Source organism: Homo sapiens, chromosome 8 (assembly GCF_000001405.40).
Source record: "Homo sapiens chromosome 8, GRCh38.p14 Primary Assembly".
Classification (NCBI taxonomy): domain Eukaryota; kingdom Metazoa; phylum Chordata; class Mammalia; order Primates; family Hominidae; genus Homo; species Homo sapiens.
Window position 1 is genome coordinate 3,073,227 of NC_000008.11, and position 18,798 is coordinate 3,092,024.

An 18,798-nucleotide genomic window follows, 5' to 3' on the forward strand; every position below is an offset into this window, starting at 1 on the left:
CATAGGAAATCATGCATGTAAACAGAAAGAACAGCATGTCCAGAAATAGATACCCACCTACCAGATGATTTAACATAGAAAGTAGTTGGAATTTTAAATCAGCAAAAAAAAATTAGTGGAGAAAATAATGAAAATAATTACCCAGCAAAGTATTTAATAAATGACACTCAGAAAACTGGGTAGCCATCTGAGAGGGTGACATCTTAAAACAGGATCACACTGAGATCAACACAGATTCACTCTAGAATAGGAAGCAAATACTTACATGTATAAATGAAGCAAAGCTACAGATTAGAAAATTAGTAGCTCTATGTATAAATGAAATCATTCAAACTTTAGAAAAATAAATCAATTTTAACAGAAAATAGAGAGGACTTTTCTAGGCCACAGTTCATAAAGATTAAGATGTTTCAATTCATAGACTATAAAAGACATTTGAAATACATATGACTGACAAGTGGCTAATAAATTATTGTACAAAGAACTTTCAATAAAATTGAATAAAACCAAAGAAAAATGAGAACATGAACTTTAAAAAAATATAAAATATAATGGTCAAAAAATTACCAAAAAAAAAAAGTATTCTCTACTGAGTAATGATCAAATGAATGAAAATGGAAACAATGAGTGATTTTTTTTGTTTCATTTTGACTGTTAGATGTGCAAGAATTAAGAAGATTGGCAATTATAATGATTTCTTTTTATTGCAACATAAATTATTCCACACATAGAGGCCCAAAACAGCACACATTTATTCCAACACGATTTCTGCAGTTCAGGTACGGGCGTGGCCTCACCCTGAGGGTGGCAGCGGGCTGCTTTCTCACCTGGAGGCGCGGGAAGAATCCACTTGGAAGATCACTCAAGTGGTGGCAGAAATACGTTTCTTGCATTTGCGCAGCTGAATGTTTCCTGACTGGCTGTGGGCTCTCAGCGTCCAGAGGCCCTGTGTTCCATGTTCTGTGTCTTTCTTCATCTTCCAAGACAGCTACAAAGGCTCTCCCTCACATCCAGTCTTTCTCAGGCCTTCAATCTCTGACCAGTAAGAACTCTGCCCCTAGAAGAGCCCGTCTGGTGAGGTCCTACAATCTGAGCACATTCTCCCTTCCTGAAGTGTGTCTGTGCCAACAACATAACGCAATCACGGGAGGAGGGTCCACCGCACCCCCAGGTCCATAGGGAGCTGTCTACCCAGGGCGTCGGTCACCCCACCTCCTCTTAGGATTCTACCTTCACCAGGCTCCTCAAACATAGAAGCTTCCAGAAGCAAGCCGTCACACCTGTAGTGGAGCAGCCTATTTGGATTACCCGAAGATCAGTTTGACAAGATAACCCAATATGTCATCTGTTCATTGCCTGTATTTCACTTTCAAGAAATTGTATCCTGTGGCAATGAGTGGAAGAAAGTGCAAAGATGTTTCTGAATGAGTATGCATGTCTGCATTTTATCTAATAGTTAGAAACGACATAACTGGTCATTGAAATTGCAATAAATATACAAACATATATTTTAGAATAGAATTTTTGGCATTTTATTATAATTTTTGGATATAAAATAATGTGTATGCCATATCATGGAAAGTGTGATATCATTCAATTGATATAAAGACATAGATTATAGATATAATAGATATGTTTACTGATGTGGTTTGTATCTATGTCCCCACTCAAATCTCATGTTTAATTGTAATTCTCAGTGTTGGAGGTGGGGCCTGGAGGGAGGTGATTGGATGATGGGGCCGGATTTCTCATGAATGGCTTAGCACCTTCCTTTTGGTGCTGTCCTCATGATAGTGAGTGAGTTCTTGCAAGATCCAGCTGTTTAAAAGCATGTAACACCTCCCCTCTCACTCTCTCTTGCTCCTACTTTTGCTAGGCGATGTGCCTGATCCCCCTTCACCTTCTGCCATGATTAGAAGTTTCCTGAGGCCTCCCCAGAAGCAGATGCTGCCATACTTCCTGTCCAGCCGGAGAAACTGTGAGCTAATTAAACCTCTTTTCTTTATAAATTACCCAGCCTCAGGTATTTCTTTTTCTTTTCTTTTCTTTCTTTCTTTTTTTTTTTTTTTAGATGGAGTTTCGCCCTGTCATCCAGGCTGCAGTGGAGTGCAACGGTGTGATCTCGGCTCACCACAACCTCCACCTCCTGGATTCAAGTGATTTTCCTGCCTCAGCCTCCCAAGTAGCTGGGATTACAGGCATGCACCACCATGCCTGGCTAATTTTGTATTTTTAGTAGAGACAGGGTTTTTCCACGTTGGTCAGGCTGGTCTCGAACTCCCAACCTCAGCTGTTCTGTCCACCTAGGCCTCCCAAAGTGCTGGGATGACAGGCATGGACCACCATGCCAGGCTAGCCTCATGTATTTCTTTACAGTAAGAACAGCCTAATACATTTATAGAGGTATGACAAAAACCTAATAGCTTTATATCAGTTTTGTGGGTTGCAGCTTATTTTTTTGTCCCTTCCTTTTATATTTCTGGACTATGTAAATGTATTTTTATCTGCAGACACATTAAGTAAGAAATACATTGGCTGGGCGCGGTGGCTCATGCCTGTAATCTCAGCACTTTGGGAGGCCAAGGCGGGTGGATCACAAGGTCAGGAGATCGAGACCATCCTGGGTAACATGGGGAAACACTGTCTCTACTAAAAATACAAAAAAAAAAAAAAAATTAGCCGGGCGTGGTGGCGGGCGCCTGTAGTCCCAGCTCCTAGGGACGCTGAGGCAGGAGAATGGCATGAACCTGGGAGGCGCAGCTTGCAGTGAGCCGAGATCGCGCCACTGCACTCTAGCCTGGGCGACAGAGCGAGACTCCGTCTCAAAAAAAAGAAAAAAAAAAAAAGACGTTGTCACTGTTTATTTTTAAAAGTTTGTGTCTGTATTCTTTTGCCAGGGCTGCCATAACAACACACCACAGAACAACAGAAATGGATTTTCTCACAGTCCTGGAGGCCGGAAGTCCCACCGCAGGTGTCGGCGGGGCTGGTTCTGCCTGACCCTATCTCCTTTGTGTGTAGACATCATCTTCTTGCTGTGTCCCTGCATGGTCGCCCCTCTGTGCACCTCTGTCTCTGCAGGCTAACTTCCTCTTTGTATGAGGACACCAGCCACATTGGATTAGGGTTCACCCTAATGACTAACTCCATCACCTCTGTAAAGAAAGACCCTGTCTCCAAATACAGTCCCATTCTAAGGTACTGGCAGTTAGGACTCTAACGTACTTTTTTTGAGGGGACTCAATTCAACCCATGACACCAAGTAGCAGGCAGAACCTGCAGACTTTCTATCTCTGGTGCCACTGCCCAGTCACAGGACTCTGTGGCTCTGCTATGCCGGAGATGCTCCGATTGCTGGAAGATATTCCCATAACTGCTCTCACTATTTTTAAAAGTTGAAGACTGCACCACCGCTGGCCTAATTTCAAGCTGTTTCCTCCCAGCAACACTGTTTATGTTAGAAACCTCATGAAAGAAAGGATTGGTGAGATGGTTGAGCCAAATTCATTTCTCCATAAATTCATATTGATGACAACTGTGGCCCAGGCTTTGCGCAAAATGCTGGGGATTCGAAGGTACAGCAGAATCTCTGCCTTTTCTTTAAGAAGTGTGTTGTCTCATATGGGTATATGATTTTTTAGATTGAGGGTACATGTGCATTTTGCTACCTGGATATACTACATAATGAAGGAGACTGGGCTTCTGGCATACTCATCACCTGAGTAGCGAACATTGTATCCAACAGGCAACCCTCACCCCTGCTCACCGTCCTTCCTTCCTCCCTGTTTTTGGAGTCCTAAGTGCACTTCTTTCCATCCTATATCCATGTGTGCCCAGGTATGTGTGTTAAACCCATGCTCATTAGGTGCCTGCACGTCTGGTATGTATTTGAAAGCAGAGACTCCGGACTTCCTGGAGCCTGCCAAATCAGAATCGTGCAGGGCTGGGAGTCAGGAATGCATTTTTTAAACTTTGCAAGGTGAGAACCATTGGTCATGGAGGACTAAACAGCTGCACAAATAGGAAATCAAAGTAAGAAATGCCAAGACATGGACAAAAGGCCACAGTGGGTGCCTAGGTCCCCCCAAGACACAGCAGACTGCCTGGGGACTGAGCCCTGAAATGAGAAGATGAGAAGCAACTCCACACCTCAACAACAGTGCATCAAAGGTGGGAAAACAGGCAAAGCACACACTGTCTGCATCGATGTGGTCTACATGGACATAAACACCTGCCTTCCAGCCTCAGAGCAAAGCACTCATTCTCCCTGTGATGGTCTCTGGGCAGAAGCCTCATCCTGGCTGGCAGGTCCAGCCACCTCCAGAACGTAGTAGTCACTTCCTTTGAATTGTTTGCTTATTTTTCCTGTCTCAGCTATCTCTACCTTAAGAATTTTGGAAAGCCAACTTCCCCAGTAGCCTGAGGCTTATGCCTGCATGCCCATCGGGGCCTTACCCACTGCAGCCCCGACCCCGGCTTGCCTACACATTTTCCCCCAGAGCTGCTCTTCTTTCTGCCAGGGACTGACATTTTCAAACTGTCACTTTCACAGGTAGAGGCTGCCGCTGTGCCTCTTCAATGAAAGACCATAACCTATCCTTCAGTGTCAGCTGGTATCTTAAACTGCACACAGGGCATTTCACTGTCTTTACTCCTCTTTGCCTTTTACTGATTTAGGAGCTGTCATTTTCAAAGTTCCTCCTGCTGAAGTGGAAAGTTCTGGGCTGACTTTTTCATCTCCACTTCCATTTGCCTCCGTTTCCTTTATCCTCACACGATCCCTTTGTTTGCTTTGTGAAATATTTTGAGTATTCCATGTCAGGTTTATTTCTCAACGCGAAGCACATTAAACTCCATTATAGCATTTTTAAAATGTGTGAGATATATAGTTGATCTCTATTAGCCACTCTTATGCATAGGACCCTTGATTCTTTTATAAAATATTATTACTTTGCATATTTTGTACAGTTCCTTGTGCAGAAAGGTCAAGGTCTTCATATCACTACTACTATTATACAAAATTACCCTTTTTGAACACTTCCACTGACTACAATACTGCTTTTATTATTAGCCACATTTCACACAGTTAGAATAGGTGAAGTTTTGGGATGCTCGATGTGTGCTAAGCATGGACAGAGGAAATGCGTTATTTAATTTAATGAATAAACATGCTGGATTTTAGCACATGGTAGAGCAAAATTACATGTCTTCAGTAAAATGCCTGACATATAATTTGCAAACTGCAGAAAGTAACTGATATTGACGGCGTTGGACTCTGCGTTTCAGTCTGATCTTGGAAGATTAATTTGATCCTGGGTTGGCAGACTATGGCCTGTGGGTCGAAACCAGCCTGCAGCCTGTTTTTATACACAAGCTAAAAATGGCTTTTACATCGTTTTTAATTGTGAAAAACTTAAAGACAAAGAATATGCCACTGAGACTGCATATGATCCCCAAAGACTGAAGGTCTACGTGGCCCTTTACAGGAAAAGAGAGCCAGTGTCTGATTTCAGCTACCATGAACAAGAAGGGAAGTATGTTACCAGCTTAGTTACCTAAACACTGCTGCCTTGACATTCAACAACATTCTGCTTGACAGCCAACCAATAGGTTTGCACCAAAAACACTCCTGGGTGCAGACATGTCTGACTGCATGCGAGTTCCTTTTTTGTTGGGCTCCTGTTCTTAGCTGGCAGTATGATAAAGGTTTCATGCCAACATTTGCGTTTAGTCCTTCAAAACGGGGGGGAGCACCTTTATGCCCATTTGCAGATAAAGAACTTCAGTGAAGTCACTTGCCCTGTCCAGGGTCACAGAGCCAGCAAATGCTGGGGATGGGAGGAATCCATCACTCAATTGCGGGAGCCTGACTGCAACTGCACTGCACAGTACTGTACCCAAGCACTCCTTTCAAATCCCCTAAGATTGTGTGAGGTAGATTTAAGCAAGGGCAACTGGGATAAACCTCATTTTACAATATACTTGATGGGAGTTGGCCAGTTTGAGCTATATGGACTGTGTGGATTCACATTCTGATAATTTACAATCTGGCTGACATAATGCCTACAACCTATATAAAAGTGTGTGTCTATATATAAAGAGAGACACAAGCATACTCACACATACATATCATAGCATGTGATTTGACATTTAAAATCCCAGAAGTTCCTATTTAAATGTAAGTTTCTAATGAAATCTAAATGTCTGGAAATATTGTATTAATATCACAAAACAGAGGAGAAGATTGATAATGAAATAGAAGCAAATAGATATGCATATAAAAAAATCAAGATAAAAGTCTCAAATACCTATGCTCTTTATGTTCATAAGTGAAGGATTTTAAGATTTACAAAATATCTCAGTTAATTCATTTATGCCAGGTCTCCTAACATATCCTCCTAACATTTGAGAATGATGTTGTTTTAAAAATTTTGTATAAAGTAAAAGGACAGTTTCCTCTGAAAGATGCCCTCTCTGTGGGCAAACATCATGTTTCGGGGGTGAATGCAGGGTATAATGGAAATGGCTTCGATTTTGGAATCTGAAAGACTGGAGCTTAAATCCCACCTGAGATAATGAGGCATTTTTTTTTTCTGGTAACATCATCTGTGAGCAACAGCATCTATGACGATTGAAGAGATACACACAGACATATCCACGTGCATCCTCTGTCCCCTCCACCCAGCTCTTTGCACCAGTTCCGTCCTTGGCCATGCTATGTAGAAGCAGAATATAGGCAGCTATCTCTATCTAAAAGGCCTGACTTTAAAAACAGAAGCTTAATCATGTAATTTGTGAGAAAGACTGTTTTTTGTACTCTTTGTTGCCTGCAAAATGCTAGCAAATCATAAATAAACAATAGACAAACTCCACTCCAAGCAAAAGCCACAGCTGATAGAAGGCTCTGAGAACCAGACCTTGAAAGTAAATAGCTGCCTGGGAGTTGCTCTCTCTTTGACCAGGGAACTTGAAAGCAGTGCACTCTGATGTGCCAGTTTAACTGGATCTTTGAGATAATACAGAGAATTTCAGTTCTAATTCAGGCTTCTCCTCAAGATGAATAAGATTAGTGTGCTGATAATGGAAACAGCTGCTTGGCAGAGTTTCTTGCTTTAAGGCAGGAAATGAAGCCTGAGGACAGAAGATCTGCCTGGCTTTATCAAGGTCGATAAGAACCAACAGAGATTTTCAGAGAGAAATAATTTAAAAGGTCAAGCAAAGTGAGAAAAACAACCTGGAGTTCCCTGAAACCAATAAAATACATTTTGCCGGCTCCATCTTCTCACTCACAGACAATTGGTAGCGAAACTTTTATTTGCTGAATCCAGAAGCTAATTGCGAGCCATCAAGGGGTCTTGGGAAGATCTCTGTCCGGGTTGTGGCCTGGGGCCTGCCACTTTGAACCCCACAATTCGGGATGGGTTTGGAGTGGGTGCCTCCCAAATCCCCTTCAAGACCTAACAATCATAATTGGCATGCATGTAATATCTGACGGCTTATCCTATATTATTTATTGAATCCTCTCAATAATTCTGGGACGTAGATATCAAAATCTCTATTTTACATGGCAGAAAGTAGGCTTAGGGAGATCAGGGCTCCCTGGCCTTTTGGGGGCTACTTTGGAGGGGGATGGCCCTCACAATGTATCCTCCAATTTCAAATCCGAGTAATTTTTCTCTAAAAATATGATGCGTCTACAATGTCATTGGCAAAAAAAAGTGAATTAAAATAGAAGACAACAAAAGCCAATTCTAAATAATCTTTAAAAGGAAAAATATTCTCCCATATTTATCTTAGAAAGTGATGGATTAGTGATTTTATAAATTTAAAATGTTTACCAAATGGCTACAAGGGGCAGGGTATTTTGCCCGGGTCCGAGGGACACAGTGGCATCCACATGGTTTATAAGATTGGTAGCTGGAGGGCCTAAAAGAGAATGAGCTCAACGTGCCAGGTTTGATCTTGCTCATTTACTAAAAGGTACCTGTTGCATTTTAGTAACTATTTGAATATATTCTTCTAGATATTTTTGTAAAGGAGAAGAACGAATGTCCTTTATGCATTCAGGAAGTTTATAAATTGTATTTATTTTATGTAAGAATAAACGGACTGCTTTTCAAATCATTGAGAAAAAAATAGAATGTCAACTCAAGGATGAATGTAATATTAAAATAGATCAATATAGATTTTAAGTTCCCAATGCCACAAAGAGATATTTGCTATTTTTTAAAATTATTTTTCTTTTTTTACAGTTTTCAAATAAAAATTTTCAAATAAAATAATTAAATAACTATGATGACCTTTAAGTTGGACGTGGAAGTCTTAAAATATTTTAACATTTGCATTAGTAATTACATTCCCAATTATCTCAATGACCTTCTCTATGATTTATTGCAGGATTTATAACCACTTTTGACCAAATGTGAGATACTGTCAGAGTCTAAACTGTTATTTATTTTGTGGTAGAGCTGCCTAGTTTGAAATTTATTACAGCAGATAGTCTTTCTTTAATTACAATTTTATTCATTTCGATTGGTCCTTATAAAAGTTACAAAGTCAAATATGATAAAGCAAATGAAGCATCCAGTATCTTAAACTAATTTAAAATCCACTGCCTCATTACTGGTAATTTTTAAAACTCCATCTTTTCTTAGCCTCAGAGTCACTACTGGGGACAGCTTGCCCCGTGGACCTGAAGCACAAATGTCAAAATCAATTTCATGAAGCTTCCTTTCCCTCACATGGTCCTTATTTCACTGAGTGGCACCAAATACTCCCAGCAATCATGTCCCCCACCAACATATGTCATCCCAGATTTATCTCTTCCTTTTTACCTGCTTTCACGAGAGACTGTGGACTCTGTTTCCTAAGTATTTTCAATACCTGTTTTCATGCAAAACTTGTTTCTCACTGTATTTCTGGAAGTCTTCATATCCCTCAAACACACATTGCTATAACCCACTAAGAATTCGTGTCTTCCAGACAGGATGCGTGCCAATCATTCATTATGCCACGGAAAGATCAAGCTTTCTAAAACACAGATGGGATTGTATCTCTTTTGCTCTTTAACGGAGTCTCGTCAAGCAAGGACAAAAGCTGAAAGCCACGTAAACTTGCAGCTGAGATTTCCTATGGGCTGCTCCTGCCAGCTTCTCCAACCCATCGTCCTCCACCATGTCCCCTTCACATTCCAGCTCAGACATCCCAATATCCTGGACCTTCTCTGCTACTCCCGCCGGATGACTATCCATTCCTGCTGACTATCATATTGACTTGTACTTATCAGTTTTTAAGACTCTCTCCCTCCGGACTAGCAGAGCCATAAGAGCTGGGAATATTTTTTATTCACCTTGGTACCCGCCTGCAGTGCGTAACTCAGAGCTAAGTCTGAATTGAAAAGAAAACAGCCATAACTTCCTTAATACTTGTATGAGGCTTCAGACCCACAGCAACAACCTTAATGTACAAAAACAGACACATAGTTAACATCGCTTTGCCTGTACTCTTGAATACAAAAAGAAACATGTCAAGAAATTATACAAAAGATACCCTCTCCATAAACATAGCCCTTGTATCTACTTTTATTTTGGACAGTGTGCTTGAAGCCTAGAAGCCTCAGAGGTAAAACCTGTAACTCTATCCCTACAGATGTGCTATGTGGAGATTCTCATGTCCCAGCTTTATATCGAATGTGAACATCTGCGGGAAAAATAAAATCATGAAAACTTCTGTGCTGATTTGGGTGGCGAAGACGTGGTGATGTGTTAATTTAGCTGGGGTTTTTGAAAATTGTTTTTCCCACGTGGAGTTCTAAACATTTTAAAGAAAGAGCTCACCTAGTCTTCTGTTTCATATTTCATTTTTCTTTTCTTTTATTTATTTTTATTTCATAATTATGAATTGTCAGCAATTCAGGATCACATAAACGGTGACGATTCTTCCTTATATATTAACTCTCTTTAAACAAAAATGCTAGTTTTTTTAAAAAGACAGAACATGTCTTCAATTTTCTTAGAACTGAAAATAAAATTCTCTAAGTGTCATATATCTCTGCTTGTAAATTAAAATTACTAATTAAGATTCCAAGAACCAAATAGAAAATAGGGTTCCCTTAATATTTTATTTTTAACACCAGAGGAAAAGAGCAACACATCGTTGATAATCAGAGTGCTTTCTTCTTTTTAAAGTATTTCAGCCTCAAAATAACTTTTCGAATCTATAATTTTTTTTAATTTTTCTGATTATATATATTTTTGAGGCAGTCATCAAAGGGTCCTATTTGCACATCAGTAAGGAAGTCGCTTAATCTGTTATACACAGCCAAATGTGCAACTCTATATTCCAGGTCATGCTCTCCATCCACGGTGACAGTTACCATAATTTTTATATATATATATATATATATATATATATATATATATATTTTTTTTTTTTTTTTTTTTTTTTTTTTTTTTGGTCTCATTCTGTCTCCCAGGCTGGAGTGCAGTGCCGTGATCTCGGCTCACTGCAGCCTCTGCCTCCTGCCTGGGCTCAAGTCATCCCTCCATCTCAGCCTCCCAAGCAGCTGGGACTACAGGTGCACACCACCACATCTGGCTAATGTTTGTATTTCCTGTAGAGACAGGGTTTCACCATGTTGCCCAGGCTGGCCTGAACTCCTGTGTTCAAGCAATCCACCCACCCACCTTGGCCTCCCAAAGATGCTTGGAATACAGGTGTCAGCCACTGCACCCAGCCTACATTCTATTTTTCGTTATTACACTGTGAATCCCTTGGAAGGAAACAAATCTTTTTGTTGTTGTTGTTGTCATTTCTCCTTGGGTCAGTACACACAACTGCTCAACATATCTGTGAGTGGATGGGAGAAGGTTTCTAGCATAATCCACAACACACCATATGCAATTTGCCAAAGAAAAGCAGCTGAAAACCCACAAAGTCTCTTTCTGTCATATGAGGCCAAAGTGTTTCTACAACTTAGGGAAGTATATACAGCGTGTAAAAGATCTACATTCTAGAGCTGGGCAGGGTGGCTCATGCCTGTAATCCCAGCACTTTGGGAGGCTGAGGCAGGAGGATCACCTGAGGTCAGGAGTTTGAGACCAGCCCGAGCAACATGGTGAAACTCCATCTCTACTAAATACAAAAAATTAGCCGGCTATGGTGGTGGGTGCCTGTAATCCCAGTTACTTGGGAGGCTGAGGCAGGAGAATTACTTGAACCTGGGAGGCAGAAGTTGCCGTGAGCCGAGATCACATCCATTGTACTCTACCCTGGGCAACAAAAGCAAAACTCCGTCTCAAAAAAAAAAAAAAAAAAATCTACATTCTAAAAGTAACAAAAGGAAAGTGTGTAATTAATACTAAACAAATAAAATCTCTCTTTGTTGCACACTACAAAAATCACACATTTATATTTTATATTTAATATAGCTAAATCACCTTTAACAATTCTTTAAGCATAAGCAAAAACTGTTGGGGCATAAATTGCCAATATATGTTGTACAACCTTATGCTATTTAAAACTTTTATAATTCCTTCCCAATGGCCTTTATCCAGATAATCATTTTTACTCTTCATTTTAAAGGTTTAATTTTGTCTTTAAAATGATAAAAATGCTGATTTAATTGTACCACACAACTTTAATGTTCAAAAATCCTACTTTTTGCTACATTTTGTTTTGTTTTAAGCATTATAATCTATATATATAATGAAAATAATTTTATATTATAATTAAAATGCTATTTTACACAAATTGTAAATATCTAAAAGGTGACTAAAAGAAGTCTTGCACAGGAAATGAATTTAAGTGCTTAAAATATAGATTCTTTCAGAATTAGTATTTGCGAGATTCTATTTTAAGTATAATTTCTTCTGGCAAGGAAAATTCCACTTTAACAATGGTCAGGCTCACAGAAAGACTGAATTCTAGATCAACATTTTTATGATTATGAAGTCCCTTAACTTTTATGTGTTTCAGTTTCAAATACATAAAAATAAGTAGTTCAACTGGATTGTTTTTAAGATCCCTCCAAGTTTAAAGGTCAAAATGCATGAAGAAAAAAACAAAACCATATTGACTCCCAGGTTAACAGAAAGGTTAACAGGAAGTGTAGAAAGTCACAGATCTGTTTTAGAAAAATGATACTTCTTAAATATTTTATAATTTGAGAACAAAGTCGTGTAAGTTATTTATTGCCAAGAATAAATCTGAAGGAAGGTAGTCTAACTCTTCTTCCAAAACATGGTGTGCATTCTAGCATCCCATATACACAAAGCCATTGCCTCTCTGCCATGTTCCACACAAAGAAGAGATACCCTGATCATGTTCCCACAGATTCCTTGGCCACAGCTGTAAAGATGTCAGAAGAGCCTCATTTGCAGTGTGCACTATTTGTATTTCTGAATCATTTAACTTAGCATTAAATAGTTCTGCTGGGGTGTGGGGAGGCCATGGGAGAAGAAAGAAGTCAAGACTTATCCCAAACCTATATATGTGACATCCTTTAATCCTTCTCAACCATTCACTGAAAGGGTAAGCCATGTCTCCACCTCATAATCCGTTTCCAGAACTCCTTGCATATCCATCAGAAAGATGGACTAGCATGTGCCTGGCATCACCCGAATCCCTTTGGGACATGAAGGTCCCTCTCCGGACCCCTTTGTGCTTAGGCCTGGAGAGCACACTCTCTTTAGGCTCTATTTTGACTCCACCTCTAGAGGACAGGAAATGACTTCAGGAGTTTCTGCCCATTCCACCGAATCCCTTTCCTGTGTCCAGGCTGCCGTTTGGGCTGTGGTTCTGTCATTAGCCAGTGCTAGTGGGGCACAGACCATGGCGTGTTCTCTGAGCTGAAGTTGGGTCTCTTCAGCAACAGATTCTACGACTCTGTTCTATAAACAGAGTCATAGAACATTTAAAGCAAATGAGAAATATATCTTCTTCTAAAAGAAAAAGTATTCTTGTAAAGAAAAAAAAATTATCATTCTAATCATTCCTAATGAAGTAAGCTGCTTGAGTCTATCTCTATGTTTATTTTACATTAAATACGAATTTTTAGAGGTAAAACATAAATAATACAGTAGAGGTAAAACATAAATAATACAGGCTGTCTGATCAACTTCTTACAGTCAAAGGCACCTACAATAACTGTGATAAGTATCTATTACTGTCTCACAAAGCAATACCAGAAAATCTAATATCTAATGAAACTGACAAAAAAGAGAGCCTATATGAGCTTTCACTCATAAATCATAATTAGCTTTCAAAGACTAATATAATTCATTATGAATATAAACCTTGATAAGATAAAACTATGAAAATTTCATGACTTCAAAGCCTTCAATTAAAATTAAAATGTGTTATTTGAAAACCTGATTTTTATGCACATGATAGATAAAATGCCAAAAAAAAGGCATGAAATACTGAAATCAACTTTAACAAGCTCTAGATTTAAATAACAAAACAAAATCAAATACAGAGCTTAGGGCTCAAAGAATGAGTTTTTAAACTAAAATAAAGAAAATGAGTTTTCCAGAAATTAATGTTTTTAAATTAATACAATGGTAAAGAAAAATTATTTTGAATCTTAAATTGGATGACATGTTTTTTACTTCAAGAGGAAGTACAACTGTTAGAATAACTTGACCCAGGATCTAGTGAATGTCCAACCCTTCTCCAAATTCAGGCTATACAACTACATGTCAGGAAAGTTTGCATGGCCACTAGAAGGTTTAATTCGTACTGTTATAAGCCAACATTCAATTTTTCCTTACCTTTTATTCTTAGTTAGTGCTTCATTTATTTTCAGAGAGTGATTAAAATGAGAGCAATACACAGGAAACAAGGCTGGGGATGAAAACGCATTTCTTACCCTGGCAGAGTGGCGTGAGGGAGTCCCACTGGTACATGCCAAGTGGGTTTCGTCTACAGGTTGCATTGCTGTGGCCGACCATTCGGTATCCAGGCTTGCAAAAATAATGCACTTTGCTTCCAACCGCTCCTGCAGTCCTGTTTAGAATACCCCCATTCTTCAGGGGGTGGGTCAAACTGCAGTAAGGTGCTGTGGGCAGACAGACACACACAGAAATAAGTCAACAAGCAAACAAATGGCCAGTGCCATTGCCTTTGTGAGAGTCTATAAATGAATGGCTTCTCATTTCCAAAAGGTAGGAAATGAGCACCAGTATGTAAGTTTGTTCTAAAGAGCATTCCAAAACTTGAGAGTCTAAGAGGCAAGTCTCTTACTCTGAAGTTGAGATGATCTGCAGCTCTGAGTCAATGTGAAGCTAGGATCCTGAATACAGTACTGTGAGAAACATCAAGAGTATCCAATCTTTAGGCTTCCCTGGGACACACTGGAAGAAGAATTGTCTTGGGCCACACATAAAACACACTAACACTAATGATAGCTAAGGAGCTATAAAAGAAACTGCAGAAAAATCTTATAATGTTTTAAGAAAGTTTACAAATCTGTGTTGGGCAGCATTCAAAGTCATCCTGCGCTGTATGCAGCCCACAGGCTGCAGGTTGACTTGGTCTAGAGGGATCATTTTGAATGACCTCACTCACCTCTCTAAAGCAGCTTACTGACTTAAATAAGCACATCTGTCACCAGGATAAAAGTGATAGGGTACTGCACAAGACATCATATTTGAAACAAAAATATTCTGCGTGTTTTTTAAGTGTTGTTAAAACAGAGAAAGTAGAAATATATAACATTTTCTTAATCAAGGCCATTAATTTCTTTCCTTTTGACTGTTCAGTGAAACTTCTGGACTGTACAATGATGTAGATATTAACCTTCTTTTTTAGCATATGGGATTTGAATGAAATCTTTGAAGAAAATGCATTCTCTTGAGTCAATTACAATCTCACAATAGCTTTAATCATCCCTCTTTGTAAGGAGACATTTTAAAACTAGAGATGGGCATTTGTTAAAATAATAATTTTACCCACACAGAATGTCATATTTATGGCTAAAAGTCTCTGCATCTTATTTACACGTTTAGACAAAGAAACTTGCTTCATCTGCACAAGGCTAGGTCACTACTGCATAAGGCGAGGTCACTACTACACAAAATCCTAGGAACTCACTTCAGATGAATTTAAACAATACAACAGAGAAGGTCCTTAAGAACTGGGAATTCTCAGTTTCTTTTTAAAGAATTTTAGATCTTCCACTTCCCTCTGGGGCTTCCATATAAAAGCACACACACGCAGGTCTGAATGCTTAACATTGCTCCTTTCCTTGGAAATACATTCAGAAGAAACCTTCTGAAGGTTTTCTATCATAGTGGTGCCCAGAAGCAACATCTATGTGTCTGGCCTCAGTTGTCAACCATGTTCCTACGAGAAGTGTCCTCAGAAAATATTCTCAGCTGGGTGAGCCTCTGAAGTACCATTTCCTTTTTTTTAATGGGCTGATTTTTCTTAACTGAAAATCCACTACCATAAGAATCTCTTGATTCACAGCTCCATTGGCCACACCATGTTCTACCTCCAGTTATTTCTAGACCAAATTCTTCTAAGTTTTGAATGAACCAAAATACTTAGTTTAGACAAAGTATGAGTACAATCAGGCACCCTGAATATCAATGGCTTGGAATCACTGTGCTAGTAAAAAAAAAAAAAAAAAAAAGTTAATAAAAAATAGAAGGAACAATCAGACTGTAGATTCCTCTCCAAAGTCATAGATAAGTTAAATAAAGTTTGCAGGAAGTGAGACCATGAGGCTCTAACTCTACAGATTCCAATAAGGCTCCGTTTTCTTTTACTGTGTTTCTTCTCTCACCAGCCCCTCAACATACCTCTTCTTTCCTAACTCACTTAGGATAAGACATGAAGGGCCCTACAGGGGAAACCATAGCACAGAATACAAAGAGAGACTGGAGCAGGGGCCCTGCCAGCCCAACTCCTGCTGCAGGAAGAGGAATTCAGAGGAGCAGGGCCTGGTCCTTCCACTCTGCTGGTGCAGCCTCGGAAAAGCTGGGATATAGAATGAAAAGTCTAATGGGTACCCAGGTGAGAGAAGACTGGGACAGGTGGATATTCTGGAATTTCGGTGTGAATGCCAAACCAGTCTGTACTTTCAACCCGCCCAATACAGAAGCTTTCATTTGCTTCTCATAGTATGAAAAGGACATTGTTAATTCAGCCTGCGCTTAGCACAGTTTACGGAATTGTCCAGAACCACTGTTCGCAGGCATTTCTTTGTCGTTTTTAACTCGGATTTCCAATTATGATGATTCATTATATTGCTTTTATGCCTGAATGATCAAGAGTTTACGTGCATAGGGCAAATACATGTTGGGGATGCAACGTGTGGTCATGTGACAATATCATGGGCTAGAGTTCCCTTGGCCACATGTTAATATTTTAGGGACACTTTCATTTAATCAATGCTCAAAAATTACTGATGCTGACCTAGCAGAGATCACTGAGTCATCAATTCTAAGTAAAAAGCTGTGAGATAGATAAAGAATTTTTTATATTCACATATGACACGTGTCTATCTATCTGCCTCTCTTTCTCTCTCTCTCTCCACTTAAACAACATAAAATTGTGTATTCTTCTTCTCCCAATACAGTTTAACAATGAGGCTCTCCTTGTGGTATGACAACAAATAAAATACCTTTTGAAAGACGTAGAAATCATTGTTCTCACAATTGAGGATATAATCATATCACCAGGCTACTAAGAATTTCTCTGCAGGTAAAACAAGATAAATTATGTTCATCATGATTTTCTCTGAGCTGACCATGTTTCCACATTGGAAAAATTCAAACACCTTTAAGAGTCTGACTATCGGCCGGGCGCGGTGGCTTAACGCCTGTAATCCCAGCACTTTGGGAGGCCGAGGCGGCCGGATCACAAGGTCAGGAGATCGTGACCATCCTGGCTAACACGGTGAAACCCCGACTCTACTAAAAAAATACAAAAAAATTAGCCGGGCGCGGTGGCGGGCGCCTGTAGTCCCAGCTACTCGGGAGGCTGAGGCAGGAGAATGGCCTGAACCCGGGAGGCGGAGCTTGCAGTGAGCCGAGATCGCACCACTGCACTCCAGCCTGGGCAACAGAGCCAGACTGTATTTCAAAAAAAAAAAAAAAAAAAAAAAAAGAGTCTGACTATCTATTTTTTGGAACAAGGAGTTTGCTGAATGCAAATCCCATCATTGCATCGATGTCTTTGCAGCAAAGGTCTGAGTATATTTTATTAAACCTTCCAGAGGAAGAATATCTGAATTTCTTGCCTGTTATCCTCACATCAAGGGCCTTTCAAAATCTTGATGCTTTTTACCATTTTATATGTCTACCAACCAGAGTGAGCTAAAACCTTATTCTTACAACTGCTGTTTTAACACTGTTTCCTGGTTTTCCCTTTGGACGCTCGTAGTCCCTAAAGACGTAAAACACCAACACAGTAATAAACAATCCTCCGTCAGCACATATTGTTCACTTCCCATACACAATGAGCATCTTTCACGGGAAAACATAACTTGAAAGCTGTCAAGGGCATTGCTGAGTGAGATTTTGAGAAAAGTTTAGATTTTCTGCTTAGTAATTGAAATGTGCTCAGGAATTAAGAGTCTGCCTACTGCTTCTGTAGGAAAGTTTAAAGAATAGTGTGGTCAGATCCTACTGATGATTGTATACAGGATTTAATGTCTAATAAATATATTGACTGATTTGATCAATTTGTTACTAATTGATTTAGTTAATATAAATCACTGCTGGCAGAGAATGATTACAGTATATAAAGGGCAAAATAATTTACATTTTGATGAGGAATATATATTAAACATATATTTATTATGTATATGGTTATTTGTACAAATATATATATACACATATATGTAGTGTGAAACATACATAAAGAGACCTGCAGATAGATACAAAAACATAACTATTAATAGTAAGAGATTATCATCACTTATGCAATTAATAGAAATACAATTATCTTTTTCTATTTGTTTGCTTACCATTTAAACATATTTTAAAATTAATTTTGATTATATTAGTTTATCTTTTGGAAAATGTCTTTGCTTTCTATAATATGAATTTCAGCAGTTTATAATTTTAACAATAAAATTCTAAATATTAAGCAACAAATTTCCTAATGTAGTTTAGAGGAATCATTCAGAATAATTACCCATCATATATTTCTACTGTAGTTAATTATTAATCTTTAAGAATTAGGATTATACTATAAATTTCTATTTAAATTGTTTTATTCAATGAAAATCACCTGTTTTAAAATACTTTCATATAAAATCTAAACCTCATTTACTTACCTGCATAGCGAATCTTGAATCCTTTCTTACTGGTGGCATGGTCAGTGGACCAGCGGAGATATAACTGATTACTCCTGCTTGTAAAATTTGATTGTTCAGTATGATTCCCACTTAAGACTACTAGCAGAGGACTTTGCCCAGAAGAACCTAAGTGAAACAGAAAAACAAAAACATTCAGAGATGAGTGAGCACCTACCAAATGCATACTAGGTTTAGCTTTTGATTACACTGGAGTCTACGTGTGCAATACACAGATATAATTATTACAAAAGTGGACAACAAATTCCAAATGGCTATAGTGACAGATATATTTTCTGATAAAAATAAGACAATAATGTACAAAAAGAATTTCAGGTGCATATGCTATTAATGGTGTCATATTTAAATAAGCCTTGTCTATAAAACAGCAGTACCCGAAAAAAATGAAAGTAATATGTATTGTTGTTAGTATTTACAATATTGTACTTACACAGGAAAATAGAAACTTTCATGTAATACTAGTGGAAGCG

At 38.8% G+C, this 18,798-nt stretch overlaps 1 protein-coding gene across 5 annotated transcripts in view; it reads right to left on the reverse strand.

Annotated features, from left to right (window-relative positions):
* CSMD1 (CUB and Sushi multiple domains 1) overlaps positions 1 to 18,798 on the reverse strand; it is a 2,059,554-nt gene that overhangs the window by 137,866 nt on the left and 1,902,890 nt on the right. For all 5 annotated transcript variants that reach the window (XM_011534752.3, NM_033225.6, XM_011534753.4 and 2 more), the window contains 2 exons: positions 18,290 to 18,436; positions 13,871 to 14,059 (listed from right to left, as the gene is read on the reverse strand). In XM_011534752.3, coding sequence (XP_011533054.1) covers positions 13,871 to 14,059; positions 18,290 to 18,436 — 336 coding nt within the window. The remainder of the gene's footprint in view (positions 1 to 13,870; positions 14,060 to 18,289; positions 18,437 to 18,798) is intronic.